At 36.2% G+C, this 18911-nt stretch overlaps 1 protein-coding gene across 2 annotated transcripts in view; it reads left to right on the top strand.

Annotated features, from left to right (window-relative positions):
• Positions 1-18911, top strand: part of CNTNAP3 (contactin associated protein family member 3) — a 223458-nt gene that overhangs the window by 182225 nt on the left and 22322 nt on the right. The window contains exons 16-19 of one of the 2 annotated variants that reach the window (NM_033655.5): positions 2029-2199; positions 3228-3446; positions 5793-6032; positions 17296-17520. In NM_033655.5, the coding sequence (NP_387504.2) occupies positions 2029-2199; positions 3228-3446; positions 5793-6032; positions 17296-17520 (855 nt within the window). The remainder of the gene's footprint in view (positions 1-2028; positions 2200-3227; positions 3447-5792; positions 6033-17295; positions 17521-18911) is intronic. The other variant, NM_001393379.1, reaches the window with a different exon arrangement.

Below are 18911 nucleotides of genomic sequence, written 5' to 3'. Positions count from 1 at the left end.
CATGAACTCATGGATTTTAATATACATAATAGATAACTGTAGAATACACATAGAAGAGAGAGACTGTGTGTGTGAGAGAGAGAGAGAGAGATACAAATACACATATTTCCTAGCTGACTACTGAGAGGGCTAGAAGCAATGACACCCTAGTAAATAGCCTGCAGATCTCGGCTTCTAAACACCATTTTCTATCATTCTCTGCTAAAAAAGAAACCACGACTCCTTGAAGAAATGGCTGATTCCAGAAATGTGGCAGAGAAAATGTAAGATGAGCCTGGATCATTTTGTTATGACAAAGGGGAAAGAAAAAGCTGAAAAAGGCATGGGTGTCAGCTTAAAGGAGCTGCCACATTTGAGACAACTTAAGCATCAAAATAAGTTATAGAGTATAAACCATTGAATAGAATACAAATTCAAGAGTGATGTGAATAAACCAATGGATAAATACACAAATAAATTAGTAAAAGATCAAGAGAAAAGCTATTTCTTGGTTTGTTTGTTTGTTTGTTTGTTTTTGAGATGGAGAGTTGCTCTGTCACCCAGGCTGGAGTGCAGTGGCATGATCTCACCTCACTGCAAGCTCCGCCTCCCGGGTTCACTCCATTCTCCTGCCTCAGCCTCCCGAGTAGCTGGGACTACAGGCACCCACCACCATGCCTGGCTAATTTTTTGTATTTTTAGTAGAGACGGGGTTTCACCATGTTAGCCAGGATGGTCTGGATCTCCTGACTTCATGATCCGCCCGCCTTGGCCTCCCAAAGTGCTGGGGTTACAGGCGTGAGCCACTGCACCTAGCCGAGAAAAGCTATTTCTGACGGAGGCATGTCAACCAATTAATGTGGAAGGAATGACAGAGCTTAGAAGATCACCACTGGCAGCCATCAGAATAAAAATTCAATCAGGAGCCATCAATATATTGTAAAACCATTGGATGAAGAAATTTTTAACTGGGTAAAGTTGTGTTTCTGTAACCTTAAAGTGTCAAAAATACATGAATTACAAAGAGAAAAATAATAACTTCATGTTGGAGAAAGTGGACAAATGCCACTTTACAAAGCAGTTGAAACTAACAGGACCAGTGATGGGCTGATCAGCATTGCTGCCTGCTGCTGCGACACACTGAGGAGAACACAGCAGCCCTTCTGTGGTATTTTTGACAAAAATGCACAACATGAATCCAATCATGAGTATGTCAGACAAATCCAAGTTGAGGAACATTCTGCAAGTCAACTGAAAAATACCAAAAAGTCAAAAGTACACAAAAGATAAGAAAAGACTCACACACTGTACCAGAATGAAGGACACTAAAGAGGCCTGAGGAATACATGTGATGTGCAGTCCTGTGATGGGTTTTGGACAGAAGGGAACAAATAAGCTTCTTCTTGTTCTTGATTGTTCTTGCCATGAAAGGAATTAAGACAGTGTGTGTGTGTGTGTGTGTGTGTGTGTGTGTGTGTGTGTGTGTATGTGTATGTGCAGGAAGGAAAGCAAGAGTCTGTGTTCTGGCTTCTGGAGTCATTTATCCAACTACCTCCTTCAAATCTCCACTTGGATGCCTAATAGATATCTCAAATGAAACATGTCCCAAACTGAGCTGCTGCTCGAACCTGCCTCTTTAGAATTATTTCCCCTCCCAGTTAGACCAAAAACCCCAAAGTCACCTCAGACTCCACCCTTCTTCTCACATCTTACCGAGTTCTTCAGTAAGTTCTGTTGGTCGTACCTTTGAGGTGATTCTGAACTTGACCCTGTCCCTACTGTGTTGCTGCGCGATCCCCTGACTGGTCTCATTGCTTTTGCTTCGCTTTTGTTTGGCCTTCTCTGAACACAGAATTCTAATCCTCACCATAATCACCATTTAGCTCTTGATGTCATCAGTATATGACATGGATGCTCAGAACCCCCAGTGAAAGCTCATATAGATTCTATTAATGTATTTAGCAGTCATAATCCTGTAAGTATCAAATGTAGCTGTTATTTTTGTTTCATGACTTTTTTTCCTTTTGTCGTTTTCTCTATTGTAAACAGAGTCATTCTGGAATTCAGCTTCCTTCAACACTGAGACTTCATACCTTCATTTCCCTGCTTTCCACGGAGAACTCACTGCTGACGTGTGCTTCTTTTTTAAGACCACAGTTTCCTCCGGGGTGTTTATGGAGAACCTGGGGATCACAGATTTCATCAGGATTGAGCTGCGTGGTAAGCTCGCCACTCTGGACAAGTCACAGGGTACCCATTATTTAGCAATAAAAGCTTTAACTCAACAAAATGTTAGTATTTCATTCTTATTTTGTGATTCTATTTCATTATAAAATACTAAACTTCTATGATTTTAGGTAATTTTTTTTTTTTTGAGAGAGGGAGAGAGGATTTTGCTGTGTCACTCATGCTGGAGTGCAGTGGCATTATCTTGGCTCACTGCAACCTCAGCCTCCTGGGTTCAAGCAATTCTCCTGCCTCAGTCTCCTGAGTAGCTGGGACTATAGGCAGGCACCACCGTGCCCAGCTAATTTTTGTATTTTTGGTAGAGGTGGGGTTTTCCCATGTTGACCAGGCTGGTCTTCAACTCCTGGCCTCAAGTGATCTGCCTGCCTCGGGTTCCCAAAGTGCTGGGATTACAGGTGTGAACTGCCACACCCAGCCAGTAATCATTTTTAAGAGAAAATAAAACAATGAAGCATGAAGCACGTAATAATCCATTAAAATGTCATGCCTTCCCTAGAGTACAGAACAGCAGAGCCAGAGCTTTAAACCAAACTCATCACATTGTTTACTGAATTCCAAAAATATTTGACCAGACATATTGTTTTTTATGTACCCAAAGCTTAATTTATGACTGTCAAAATTTACATTCAGTGTTTATAGAATTAGATGAGACTTTGAGCCGTTTGTAAATAAAATTACTGAAACCTCAAAAACAAATACTATTTGGTATTCTAGCTATAGGTACATAGCTATGGGTAGTCCAGCTATGGGTACATATCTCTACTATTTAGGACTTAACAAGGTTGAATTGTGAACTCTGAGGATAAATATGTTAAAATCCGTTCTGTTTTCCTCCAGGATACAGATTTATTCTGCCCCCACCCCAACTCACAGTCCCGTTTTTCTGCATCGCCGTCATTATCTCCTTCCATCCTGAGCGTGCCTTCATGTTTTCCTGTGTCTGCACAAGACTCAATTTTCTGTGAATTTGCTTGAGCAATATTCATATCTAATATTTCTAGCTCCCACAGAAGTGACCTTTTCCTTCGATGTGGGGAATGGACCTTGTGAGGTCACGGTGCAGTCACCCACTCCCTTTAATGACAATCAGTGGCACCACGTGAGGGCAGAGAGAAATGTTAAAGGAGCGTCTCTTCAAGTTGATCAGCTTCCTCAGAAGATGCAGCCTGCCCCTGCTGATGGGCACGTTCGTTTACAGCTCAACAGCCAGCTCTTCATTGGTGAGTGCTGGTGGTTTATAACTGAATTTAGTGTGAGTCCAGAGAGGGACCAAAAGAAAATAAGAACTGTGATGTACTGAGAGCAACAGTTGCCAACAACAACTACTGCTTATTGGTACTATTTGCTGATAACCTGGTAGGTTCCAGGAGCTTGCTGTGTGCTTCTTATTTGACATTTCTTTTTTTGTTTGTTTGTTTTTGTTTTTGTTTTTGTTTTCAGACAGAGTCTCACTGTGTCGCCCAGGCTGGAGTGCAGTGGTGCAATCTCAGCCCACTGAAACCTCCACCTGCCGGGTTCAAGCGATTCTCCTGCCTCAGCCTCCTGAGTAGCTGGGATTACAGGCGCAGGTGCCACCACGCCTGGCTAATTTTTGTATTTTTCATAGAGACACGGTTTTACCATGTTGGCCAGGATGGTCGTGATCTCTTGACCTGATGATCCACCCACCTCAGCCTCTCAAAGTGCTGGGATTACAGGCGCGAGCCACCGGGCCCTGCAGTATCTCAGTGTTTAGGTATCAATGTTTAGGTATTGTCATCTGTTTACAGATGAGATAGCCAAGCCTCAGAGAAGTGGAGTAACCAGCTAATGAGAGGGATCCCAGGATAGCCGACCCCCAAACTTGAACCATTCACATTGCAGAGGATTGGCATATGTGACAGCTATATTTTATCAACACTATTAGTGAGATCATTAGACATTTTTATCCATTCCTTCAGTTTCACTTCTCGGTGGAGTTAGAGAGCTTGTAATTGGGACAGAAGTCCTCCAGGGTCCACTCAAAACCAGATCGCAGGATACCCGCTGATTGGAAGCAGCACTGCGCACCTCCCCCGCGGCCAGGCTTCCAGGAGCCCACTCCCGGTTTTCCTCGCTGCTGTTCTCACTTCTGGGGCTCTCTCATCACAGGCTCCTTGTTTATAACCTGGTCTGGCTCATCTGTTCTTGCACTCCATTTATTTAAAGGTGATAGCTCTGGAAGTCTTTCCTTTAGTTTGCTTACTTACTGTTTTATCACTGTTGTTTATTTTTCCATATTGCTTTTGAAACTATTCTAACTTAGGAGCTACACAGATTAAAGCTCTCACTTGTTCATTTCTTAAGTGTTTTAAAGTGAATAAGGATGCAATCTAATTAAAACTGGACTAAATCACAAATTATCATCCAACCTAATTTACAGGGAAGGGTAGATACAACTTCCAGGTACTAAATGCTACACGTGAACCCACGTATGTATGTGGATGTGGATGGGGTGTTATACCATGACTTCCTAAAACCTAGCTTCAGGCGTGGTTAGCTCTTCTATTAAGGTGCAGTGAGGCTTTTTCAAAGGACATGAAACCATCAAACTACTGGAAAGGAGGACTACACGGAGGGGTCAAACCAAGAACTTGATTTTCTCACTTGTAATCTTGGAGATTATTTAAGGGAATGCCTAGAAACACAATTAGCGTAAAATTCACCTAGAATCAGCATTCATTGCGGTGGATGAATCACTGGCTTCAGAATCACCCACAAAGCTGATTGATAGTTCAGATTTGGGGCCCCCACCTTAGGCCCACCGAATTGGAATCTCTGGGAGGAGGCTAAAAACTGCATTTTCCAGAAACTCTAGGTAATTTCCATGCTCCTAACATTGAGAATTGTCGCCTTCATAATGGTGTTTGTCACTACACAGGTGTTGTAAACCTCTCTAAATGGTTTCTTCAGCATTCAAGTTTGACATGACAAAATGTGCATGCATGCAGTATTCAATTACTGTTTAGCACTGTACCCTCTGAGAGGAGGAGATCCTGGGGTACGGTGTCACCCCTTCCAACTTCCCCTCCTTTGCCTCTCCATTTCCTTTCACACTTTATTTTTAGAGTCCATCCAAGTAAGAAATTATCCATATATATTTTTATTATTGTGAAAAATTTGGAAGTTCATACCTAACCATTATAATGCACATTCTTATTCATAAAGAAATTAAAATAATGTTTGATGAATACACATTCTTATTCCTAAACAAAGTAGAATAGTGTTTGATGTGGTTTATATTATGTATTTTGTTCTTTGTGAAGGAACTAAAGTGAAATTCTTTCTTACCTGAAGTTAAGGAAATGTTTTAGGACTATTTGCCAGACTCACCATGTTTGAAAGTTATGTAAATAAGTGTTTTATTCAATGTCATTTAAAGCTTCATGTCTCATAACAGTTACATTTTCAAAATTGTGTATGTTCACAAAATTTTTTGACACATTGTGATTATTGCCACTCTCCATAAGGCCTGAGTTTGACATGGACATAAAATCCTGAATAAAATACCAAGGAACACATTTCTATTTGCAGTGTTTCCGTTGTAGGTGGAACGGCCACCAGACAGAGAGGCTTTCTAGGATGCATTCGGTCTCTGCAGTTGAACGGGGTGGCCCTGGATCTGGAAGAAAGAGCCACAGTGACGCCAGGAGTGGAGCCAGGGTGTGCAGGACACTGCAGCACCTATGGACACTTGTGTCGCAATGGAGGGAGATGCAGAGAGAAACGCAGGGGGGTCACCTGTGACTGTGCCTTCTCAGCCTATGATGGGCCGTTCTGCTCCAATGGTAAGTGTGACCAAGGAGCAGGTTATAGGGAAAGTACATGAAACTTAAATAACATGAAGAATGCTTCTGGCATTTGATATTATAAAGAGAGGATAAGATTGAATTATTTGAAATGGAATAATTTCTGTACCAAATTCCTCTATTGAATTTAGAAGGGATATGACTGTTTTTGAAAACTTAAGGCTATCAGTCCTCTCTGGGTTTCTTATTTAGAAGATCTCTGGGTTACCCCTAGCATCTGTTCAATGCTAATCCTCTTGAAATAATTTGGTTTTCAAAACTCTGTCCTTGTACTGTTCTAATTTTAACATCAGTAAACCATCATTGTTATTTTTGTTTTTAATTTTTAGAGACAACGTATTGCTATTCAAGCCTCTCTGTTGCCCAGGCTGGACTTGAACTCCTAGGCTTGAGCAATCGTCTTACCCATTGTCCCTTGTGACAATGACTTGAAGTGATTCAAAAGGCCTTTATAGAAATGTCTTTTCTTATAAAACAAGCATACTAACTAGAAGGGGAAAATAATATTTAAATATTGACAGTCATTAACAGGATCACTCAAACACTGTGCTCTATGATGTTTGACTCTTCTTAGAGGAGTGCAGTGGGGTATCACACAGCTTCTGCTCAGGTACAATCATGTTTTCAAAAGAAAAGGGCTGGGCGTGGTGGCTCATGCCTGTAATCCCAGCACTTTGGGAGGCCAAGGCAGGCGGATCACGAGGTCAGGAATTCAAGACCAGCCTGGCCAACATGGTGAAACCTCATCTTTACTAAAAATACAAAAATTAGCCGGGCATCCCAGCTACTCGGGAGGCTGAGGCAGGAGAATTGCTTGAACCCGGGAGGCAGAGGTTGCAGTGAGTAGAGATCGCACCACTGCACTCACTCCTGGGCGGCAGAGTGAGACTCCGTCTTGGGGAAAAAAAAAAAAAAGAAAAGGAAAAAGGGACTGATTTTAGTATTAAGTACTCTGTACTGACTTATTTAATATATTTATAATACTTTTATGAAACCTCTTACAATATTGAATCATCAGAGCTAAAATGTAGTTGTGTTTTTAAGTGTCTCTGGGCTGTTACACTTACTATTTTTAGCAGCAAAACAGGCTTTAATCACTATAAAATTGTGTGACTTTCAAAAAAATTTTGAGGATTCATTATCTAGAAGTCATTTAAATTTTCAAAAGGTCTTGCATGTGTCTTTTATCATTCCTGAAGATCTCTGTGCTAACAAATCTCATAGCTCTGGTGCAAATACAGAGCCCTTTTTATATCTCAAGCCAACATCAGGAGTAACCACTCCTTCATGAGCACAAGTGCTGATTTCTAAATCATTCCCAATCCACATTTGCTAAGTGCAATTTGAATGTTATTTTATAACCCAAAATTTTCTTAAGGATAGACATTATATAGTAAGTAAATGGAAAATGGTCCTCCAGTGGCTGGGGCATATGTTATAGTTAGATTACCTAATCTAATAAGAATGATCTGGATTTTCAGTAAATTCTTTATATTTTATGGAAATGGAAAGAGTGGAGTAGTATTCCAAGACAATGATCATCACCCAACATTGTCTTTTTATTTACAGATATATTTGGGGGGTGTGTGTATGTGTATGTGTGTACTAAACACATTTTTGGAATTAACTTGATATAAAATTAAAATATCAACCTTTCATAAAGTGTTTTAAGAGAATCTGAAAGCCCTTCAACTTTTCTCTCTCAGAATACTGTAGATACCACTTTGGATTAGCCTTTCTATCCAGACAGTAAATTTGAGAAACATCTTTGGCATAAAAGAACATTTCTAAATTCTGACCTTGAAGGAGGGTTGGTCTTCAAATCACCTTTTCTCTAGTTACTTCAGGAGCTCTGTTTCATGCTTCCTACAAAGCAAATCGATTTTTAAAGAGGAGGTAACATTCAAATAAAAAACCTGGTACTCTGGCATTTCCAGGCTGGCCACATAAGGAGCTCTGTAAACCCTCTCTCATACGAAACAAGCATAACTAGTAAAAATTATTATTTTAAAAAACAACTATTGAAAGTCTTTAGAAGATGTCCTAAGGAAATACATCAAATGAAGAAACATTTATTAATCAGTAATAATAGTGAGAGTTTGAGGCATTTAAGCCAAGACCCTCTCCCAGCACCTCCCCATCCCTAGCTCAGTATGACGGAAGCTCCACTCTATATGGATATAGCCAAGAAGCCAGAGGTTTCCTCTCTACCCAGGTCCTACTCCAGAGATACTGCATTACCCCAAGATTGGGTGCCAGCATTTCTTGTCATCCCCAGTTTTGTAGGACAGAAGCTCTGTCCACGCAGAAACAGCTGAGAAGTCTGGGGTTTCCTTCCTACACCAACTCCTCATTCCAGGACATAAGGTCTTCAGGTGTGGCAGCTGGAAAATCCTGTGTCCCAATTGCCCTCACTCCAGCTTACTTGTAAGGAACAGTTTCTCCACCAGGAGAGGCAAGGCAAGAAGTTACCTTTCCCACCCTGTGCCCTACTTGTAAGCAGAGGTTTTACTACAAAGGAGCAGGCCACTCTCACTCCCCACAGCTTCAGAGCAGTGAGGCACATTCAACCAAGAGGTAGAGGGAGGCCATGAAAATACACAGCTTGGTAGCCCTCCCCAAGTGAACTGATTTCTATTTGGAACAGAGGATGGATAAGTTTAAGCATAGTGGTATGAAGATATTGGCAGTAAGCAATTAAGAGAATTTTGATAACTCCAAGAGAGTAATGAGTTAAGCCAGGGAAGTTTAACAGAGAAAAGAAAAAAGAGTCAGCAAACTTGAAGCAAGATCAATAGAGATTATGTATCCTGAAGAATACAGAGAAATAATAATGAAAAAAATAGATCATCAGAGAAATATCAGACATAACTAAGCACACCAATATATACGTAATTGAAAATACCAGGAGAGAGAGAAAGGATCAGAAAAAAATATTTGAAAAATAATGGTTGAAAACACCCCCAAATTAATAAAAATCATTAATCTAAGATACAGAAACTCAGTGAAATACAGATGACACAAAGAAGTTTATATCCAGACACATCTTATTAAAAACTTTGAAAGCCAAAGTCAAGAAGGAAATTTTAAAAGCAGTAAGAGAAAAATCATATATACAAGGAAACGCCAGGATCAACAGCTACCTTCTAATCTGAAAGAATGGAGGCCACAGGACAGTGAGATAACATATTCAAAGAGATGAAAGAAAACTATTGTCATGAAGAAACTTACACCCAGCAAAACCGTCTTTCATGTTCAGTAGCACAGGATGACTATAGTTAACAATAATTTATTGTATATTTCAAAATAACTAGAAGAGTGGAACTGGAATGTTCCTAACAAAAAGAAATGATAAATGTTTAAGGTGATGGATATCTCAGTTACCCTGATTTGATCATTACACATTGTTTGGTTGTATCAAAATATTACCTCTACCCCATAAATAACGTACAACTATTAGGTATTCATAAAAACTAAAAATTAAAAAAGATAGTAAATATATCCCTACTTACAAAAAACAGAGAATTCACTGCTATTAGCCTGCATTAGAGGAAATAACAAAGAACGTTCCTTCAGGTTGAAGGGATATAACCCAGACAATAATCTGAATCTACACACAAAAAACAAATAGCACTAATAAAGGTAAGTGTGCAGGTAATTATAAAAGAAAGTATAATGTCATATTTCTTACCCTTTTCAGTGCTTAACTATTTTAAAAAGCAATGTATAAAACTATAATAGAGAATATACAAATATATAATGTATATATTTTCATTGTTGGGCCTATAGAAATATATTACAAAAAAACAGCACAGAGGAGACAGATGGGAGCAAGGCTGTACTGAAATAAGGAATGACACCAAATGGTAACATGAGTCAGAGGAACAAAGAAAGAGAACTAGAAATGGTAAATAAGAGAGTTTATAGACAAAGTCTATAAATATTTACTTGATCTTTTTTTTTCTCAGATTTTTTAAAAAGAGAACAAATTATATAAAATAATAATGGGTTTGGTATGCATAAAAATAGTTCCAAAACAGAAGAAATAGAGCTATGTAGAAATAACTTTTCTAAATCTCACTTGTATTAAGTTAATGTAAACCTGAAGCAGATTATTGATAAGATATATATAATGCAAGCTTAGAGCAATCACTAAAGAAAATAAAACATTGTCGTGAAATATATTAAAAGACCTATATACCAAAACGTAGTAGGATTTATCCCAGGATTTCAGGAGTGGTTCAACAAATGAAAATCAGTCAACATATTACACAAGATTAATAGAATGAGAGGGGAAAAAAAACATGATTATCTTAATTGTTGCTGAAAAAAAAACATTTAACAAACTCCAGTAACCTTTCATGATTGAAAAACAAAAACACTCAATAAACTAGGAATAGAAGGGAACTTTCTCAATATGATAAAGGCCATATATGAAAAACCTGCAATTAACATCATACTCAATGGTGAAAGCTTCCGTAAAATAAGAAACACGACAAGTATGCCCAGTTTTACCACCTCTATTTATCATAGTACTGGAAGTTCCAGCTAAAGTCATTAAGCAAGAAGAAGAAATAGAAGGCATCCAAATTTCAATAGAAGGGCTATCTCTCTCTCAGATTACCTTATCTTATATGTAGAAAACTCTTCAGGAAATAAAAGCTGTTAAGAGAAAATAAATAAATTCAGCGAAGTTGCAGGATACAAAATTAACACCAAAAATTTGGTTGTATTTCTCTACACTAGCAATGAAAAATCTGAAAGTGAGATTAAGGAAACAATTCCATTTGCAATATCATCAAAAAGAATAAAAAACTTAGAAATAAACTTAACCGAGAAAGTGAAAGACTTAGACATTGAAAACTATAAAACGTTGTTGAAAGAGATTAAAGAAAGAACTAAATAGATGGAAAGACATTCCATATTCATGAATTGGAAAACTTAAGATTATTAAAATGACAATACAACCCCAGCAGATTCAATCTAATTCTTATCAGAATCCCCAAAGCACTTTTTATACAAATGAAAAAGCCCCTATCAATATTTAAATAAAATTTGAAAAAGCCCAGAATAAGCAAAACAATTTTACAAAAGAACAAAGTTGGAGGATTCACCCTTCTTGACTTCAAAACTTACTATAAACTACATTATTCAAAACAATGTGGCACTGAATGAGGATAAACCTATAAATCAATGGAATAGAGCTGAGAGGCCAGAAATAAACCTACGTACATACAGTCAATTGATGTTTAACATAGTCTTTGTCAAGATCATTCAATAGGGAAGTAACAGTCTATTCAACATAAAGGTAGGAAAAGTGGATGTTCACATGCAAAGATTGAAGTTAGACCCTTACCAAAATTAACTCAAAATGAATCAAAGTTTTAAATCTAAAAGATAAAACTATAAAATTTTTAGAAGATATATAGGCAGATCTTCATGATCTTGGATTTGGCAGTGGTTTTTTAAAAATCACCCCAAAAGCACGGGCAACAACAACAATAAAAATAGATTATTTGGACTTTATCAAAATTAACAACTTCTGTGTATCAAAGAACACTATCAAGAGAGTAAAAAGACAATCCACAGAATGTGATAAAATATTTGCAAATTATGTATCTGATGGAGGTTTACTATCTAGAATATGTTAATAACTTCCACAACTTAACAACAAAAAGTCTAATTGGACAAAGGACTTGATGAGACATTTCTCCAAAAAGATATACAGAGTCAATAATCACATGGAAAGATGATACTCAACATCATTAGTTATTAAAGAAATACAAACGAAAAGTATAATGAGCTGCCTCTTCAAACCTACTAGATTGACAATAAAAATAAATAAATAAATAAAAACAGAAAATAACAAGTTTTGGCAAGAACCTAGAGAAATTGGAACTCTCTTTTGTTACTGGTGGGAAAGTAAATGCCACAGCCACTGTAGAAATTGATTTAGAGTTAACTCAAAGTAGTTAAACATAGAATTACCTTCGAACCCAGCAATTCCACTTCTACATATATAACCAAAACAATTGAAAACAAGAACTCAAGCAGATACTTGTATACAAATGTTCATAGTAGCACTAATCACAATAGTGGAAATAATACAAGTGTCCATCAACACATGAATTGATTAAAAAATGTAGTATATACATATAATGGTATATTGTTCAGCCATTAAAAGGAATGAGGTTCTGATACATGATACAACATTAATTGACATAGAAGACATTATGCTAAGTGAAATAAGCCAGACCCAAGAGGGCAGATATTATATAACTCCATGTTTACTAGATATCAATAGACAAATTTGTAGAGACAAAGTAGATTCAAGGATACCAGCAGCTGAGATGAGGGGGCAATGGAGAGTTATTGCTTAATGAATACAGTTTAATTTTGGGATGATGACAAATTTTGGGTATCAAAAGAGGTGATAATTGCACAACATTGTGAATTTAATGCTACTGAATTTCATATTTTAAATGGTTAAGTGGCAAATTATATATTTATATATTTTACCCCAAAGTATAGTGAAATCAAGAAAGAAATTAAAATGTTACACTCCAAAATATCCACCAACACAAAATAATAAGTCAGAAGGAAAGTGAAAAGAAAACAAATGAAACACATAGAAAAAGAAAAAGAAAATGGCAGATGTAAATCTAACTGTATCAATAATAATATTAAATGTTCATCGATTGAGCAACCCAATCAAAAGACAAATATTGTCAGAATGGATAACAAAAGAAATCTTAACTATATGCTGTCTAAGGACATACAATTTAGATTGAAAGGGGTAATTTAGTTGAAAATAAAAGAAGGGAAAACATGTACCATGCAAAGAGTAACCCTAGAGAGCCAAAGGGACTATACTAATACCAGAAAAAAATAAACTCTAAAACAAAAGGTGCTACTAGAAACAGGGAAACTTTTATAATGATAAAAAGTTAACTCCCTCAAAAAGATATAACAATTACAAACTTATATGCAGTTAATAATATAGCCCCAAATTACATAAAGAATACCTGACAGAACTGAAAAGAGAAATAGAAAAACTAGGAATAAAACCTGGAGGATTCAATACTTCACTTACAATAAAGGATAATTACTCAGAAGATTACCAAGAAAATAGAGTTGAAAAAAATAAAAACGCAATCATTCTAACACACATCTGTAGAACACACCACTTAACAATAGCAGAATGTATATTCTTCTCAAGTGTTCATGGAACATATTCTAGGTTAGACAACATGCTACCTGTAAATCAAGCCTCAACACATTTAAAAGGATTGAAATCATATGAAGGGTCTTTTTAAAACACAATGAGATGAAAATAATAACATAAAGAAATTGTGGAATATCACAAATATGTGGAAATTAAACTATACACTCCGAAATCAAAAGGGAAATTAGAAAAGGTTTTGAGATAAATGAAAGCAAAAATACAACATTACTAAAACATATAGTAACACAGCTAAAGCAGGGTTTAGAGGGAATTTTAAAGCTGTAAACATCAATATTCAAAAAGAAAAATGGTTCCCAAATAAAAAACCTGACCTGCCACCCTAAGACACTGAAAAAAGAAGAGCAAACTAAATCTAATGTAAGGAGAAACAGGAAATAATAAATAAAACAGGAGAAATTTCTCAAATGGATAATATAAAAGTGACAGAAAAAATTAACCAAACCAAAAGTCAGTCCTTTAAAATTGTTAACAAAATTGGCAAACCTTTAGTACAACTGACCAAGAATAAAAGAGATGATTCAAATTACTAGAATGACATATGAAAGAGTGATATTACTACCAACCTTACAGAAATAACATGGATTGCAAGAGAATATAAACAACTGTATGTTGAAAAAAATTACGTAACTTAGATAAAATGGACGAATTCCTAGGATGACACTAACTACAAAATTAACACAAACTACTACTTCTGTTTCAAGAAGGAGGAGAAAATATAAATTGGCCTATAACAATAAAAGGAATGTCTTAATAATATTAAAATACCACACAAAGTAAAGCCCAGGTCCAGATGGTTTCAAACAATTGATGCTATCAACTATCAGAATATATCAACTATTTAAAAATATATCAACTATTTAAATAAGAAGTATTCTTCAAAACTCTTCCAAAAAATAAAAGAGAAAGGAGCATTTTCCAACTTATTCTGTAAGGTCAGTATTTCCCTAATACCAAAGCCAGACATAGATATACAAGTATATATATTTTAAATCTACAGACCAATATCATTTAAGTAGATAGATGTGAAAACCCTGAACAGAGTATTACCAAAGCAAATCCAGTCACATATAAAAATGACTATACATCAAGACAAAGTGGAAATGATCCCAGAAATGGAAAGTTGTTTTAACAGCTGAAAATCAATTAATATAATATACTATATCTTAGAATAAAGGACAGAAACACATGATAGTCTCTACTGATGCAGAAAAGTCATTTGATAAAATCCAACATCCTTTCATGTATTTTTGTTTAAATTCAGTAAACTAATTATAGACGATAACTTCCTCAGTCTAACAAATGGTATTTTTGAAAAACTCATAGCTAAAATTATATTTAGTTTTAAAGACTGAATGTTTTTTTCCTAAGATCAAGAACGAGACAAGAATGTATACTCTCACTAGTTCTATTCAGCATTGTACTAGAGGTTCAGGCCAGACTGATTAGGCAAGAAAATGAAAAAAAAAAAAAAAGAAGAAGAAAAACATCCAAATTAGAAAGGAAATAAAACTATCTCTATTTGAGGATGACATGATTTTTTATATAAAAAAATCCCAAAGAATCTACTTAGAACTATTAAAACTAAAACCAAGTTCAGCAAAATTGCAGAATACAAAAACAATATACAAAATCAATTGTATTTCTACACATTAGCTGTGAACCATCTGAAAATAAAACCAGTAAAACAATTTTATTTACAATAGCATCAAAAAGAATAACATACATAGCAATACATTTAACAAAAGAAATGGAAAACACACTGAAAACTATAAAGCATTGAAAGAAATTAAAGGTAAATAAATGGAGAGATATTTCATGTCATGGATTGAATAATTAATATAAATAAAATACCAGTGTTCTCTAAAGTAATATACAGATTCAGTACAGTTTCAATCAATATCCCAGCTGGCTTCTTTCCTGAAATTGACAAGCTGATTTCATATGAAAATTTAAATGATGCAGAATAGCCAAAACAATCTTTAAGAAGAAGAAATTTGATAGATTCACACTGCCCAATTTCTAAACTTACTGTAAAGCAGTATATAACTGGCCTAAGACTAAACAGATAGCTCATTGGGATAAAATTGAAAGTCCAGATAGATACCTCGCCATTTATGGTCAATGGATTTTACAAGAGTGCCAGGACAACCCAATGGGAAGAAGTAGTCTCTGAGACTACTGAGTATACATGCACATGCAAATGAATGAAATTAGACCTCTATCTCACACATACATAAAAATGTACCAAATAGACCTCGATGTAAGAACTAAAACTATAAAACTCTTAAAACATGGGAGAACAAAAGAGAAGATAACCCACAGAATGGAAGAAAGTATTGCAAATCATGTCTCTTATAAGGGTCTAGTATTCAAATTATTTAAAGAGCTTTTACAACTGAATAAGATGCTGTGCGTGGTGGCTCACACCTGTAATCCCAGCATTTTGGGAGGCCGAGGTGGGCAGATCACGAGGTCAGGAGTTCGAGACCATCCTGGCTAACACAGTGAAACCCCATCTCTACTAAAAATACAAAAAATTAGCCACGCGTAGTGGCGGGCGCCTGTAGTCCCAGCTACTTGGGAGGCTGAGGCAGGAGAATGGTGTGAACCCAGGAGGCAGAGCTTGCAGTGAGCAGAGATCACGCCACTGCACTCCAGCCTGGGCAGCAGAGCGAGACTCTGTCTCAAGAAAACAAAAATAAAAACAAAAAACCAACAACTGAATAAGAAAAAGAAATTTAACCCAATTAAATAATAGGTAAAGCTTATAAATAGATATTTCTTCAGCAAATATGTGTGAATGTCCAATAAAATCATGAAAAAATAGTTGGCAACATTAGCCAGTAGGCAATCAAAGTCACAATGAAATACCTCTTCACACAGACAGGTATAGCTGTAATTTAAAAGAAAGATAATAATAAATGTTGGTGAGGATGTGGAGATATTAAAACCCTCATAATTGCTGTTTGGAATGTAAAATGGTATAGCTATTTTGGAAAAAATATGGCAGCTCCTCAAAATTTTAAAGTTGGTGTTATCATAAGATTGAACAATTTTACTCCTAGGTATATATTCCTAAGAAAAATAAAAACGTGTCCATAGAAAAACTTACACGTGAATTTTCATGGAAGCATTATTTATAATAGTCAAAAAGTAGAAACAACCCAAATGTCTATCAACTGTTAAATAGATCCGCAAAATGTGGCACATCCATTACTATTTACATCCAATGAAATATTAGTCAATAAAACGCATAAAATACTGATACATGCTACAAGATGGATGAACCTTGAAAATACCATGCTAAGTGAAAGAGGCCACATTGAAAAGACCACACGTTATATGATTCCACTGATATGAAATCTCTTGAATAGGAACCTCTGCAGAGACAGAAAGTAAATTAGTAGTTGCCTAGGCTGGGGTGTTGGGGAGAAACAGAGAATGACTGCTAGAGGTTATGGAGGTTTTTGTAGGAGGGAATAAGAAGGTGCTCGGGGGAGGGGAGTGAAAATACTCTAAAATTGATCATGGCAATGTTTGCACATGCCTGCAAATATACTAAAAGACATAGAATTTTACACTGTAATTGGGTCTATTACATGGCATATGGATTATATCTGAATAAAGATGTTTAAAAATTAATAATTTGGGAAAAAATTGGAAACCAAAGATGAGATAAGTCACCTATAAATTATACATTTATACTGAAGAATTAGTTATATGTAAATATAAGATGAGGATGATTTGGAGAATTAAAATCTCTATTAAGTGTTAGTCAATTTTGGGTTATGAGTATATTGGAGTTTGCTACTTTTTCTTCAAGTTGTAGTTTTTAAAAAACTTTAAAAAGTGAAAAATAAAAAAACAGGAAAGGATTTCACTATTACTTTATCTCCCAGGATATTTAAGGTTTGGTCTCATTCTCTAAATGTACTTAAAACAAGACCGTTGGACTTACATTTTGTTAACATAACAAAAATGTATTTATCATTTCAGAGATTTCCGCATATTTTGCAACTGGCTCCTCAATGACATACCATTTTCAAGAACATTACACTTTAAGTGAAAACTCCAGCTCTCTCGTTTCTTCATTACACAGAGATGTAACATTGACCAGAGAAATGATCACACTGAGCTTCCGAACCACACGAACTCCGAGCTTATTGCTGTATGTGAGCTCTTTCTATGAGGAATACCTTTCAGTTATCCTCGCCAACAATGGTGAATATCTTTTGTGTAAAGAAAAAGAGAACCCTGAGTTAGAAAAATAGGACTGTAATGACATGGGTCTTTTCAGCAGTCAAACTACAAACGATGAGAGAAAACTGTATGCCCTCCAATGGGTTTGGTTTTTCAGTGCCTGCCTTAATGGTTATGTATAAAAGCTAGCATTTCAAGATTAAATTAAGATGCTTTTCTCCCATTACATGTTTGATAATTTTACGGAGTTGATATGCAGTTATATTTCTTATTATTGATAGGATGACTTTAATAGTACATGATGACTCAAATTGGTTTTGCAGTTCATTTTGAAATAAGATATCTAGATACATGACATACATTCCCTCCTCATTCTAAGCAAAATAGAGGAGCATTTATGTGGATGTTATAGTACAACTATATAAAAGCCAATTCCTATAAGCAACAGATAAGTACAGCTGTTCTTTATCTCATCAGTGGCTGAAAAACTAGTTATATCACTTTTATAGAAGAAAAGTGTAATGACAACCTCTCAAACAGTGGTAGTTGGGGCATTGCAAGGTTTTTACAGTTGAACAAGAAGACCAAGCTTTAAGTCTGTTAGGTACACAGCACAAAAATTTCATGCCTAGAAAAAAATCTACAAAATCTCTGAGTAGGCTGGATGTGGTGGCTCACGCCTGTAATCGCAGCACTTTGGGAGGCCAAGGCAGGCGGATCACGAGGTCAGGAAATCGAGACCATCCTGGCTAACACAGTGAAACCCCATCTCTACTAAAAATACAAAAAATGAGCCGGGCATGGTGGTGGGCACCTGTAGTCCCAGCTACTCGGGAGGCTGAGGCAGGAGAATGGCGTGAACCCAGGAGGCAGAGCTTGCAGTGAGCCCAGATCGCGCCACTGCACTCCAGCCTGGGTGACAGAGCGAGACTCCACCTCAAACAAACAAACAAAAAAAAAAATCTCCGATTAACAGGATCTTAGTATAAACTAAAAGAGAATTACAGATAATGAGGGCACATCTGTGTAGGAGAGGGGTATGTATATTAGAAGATGTAGATACTATGGAAACCTTGTCTCCTGACAAAACCTTTTCTTGTCCTCATTTTTGGATTATGGCAGAAGACTTAAAATAATCTGGCTATAAAAAAATCTTTATGCACATATCAGTGATACATTAAAATGAGCCTTATTAGAAGTTATAATTACAGGAACTGAATGTTGATACAATATTGCATAGAGTTTCATCATTTCATAAATATCAAAGTCATAATGAATTTAGATCTGAGTTCCAAGCTCATATGCATAATTTAAACCTTTTCATTTTTAAATGAAAAGGTTTGGGGAGACTGCTTATTAACAACACATTTAGTCTTGACTTTTCAAATAGCATCATTGGACTCAGAGTCTGG

Source organism: Homo sapiens, chromosome 9, assembly GCF_000001405.40.
Source record: "Homo sapiens chromosome 9, GRCh38.p14 Primary Assembly".
NCBI lineage: Eukaryota > Metazoa > Chordata > Mammalia > Primates > Hominidae > Homo > Homo sapiens.
This window is presented reverse-complemented; position numbering and strand designations above follow the sequence as displayed.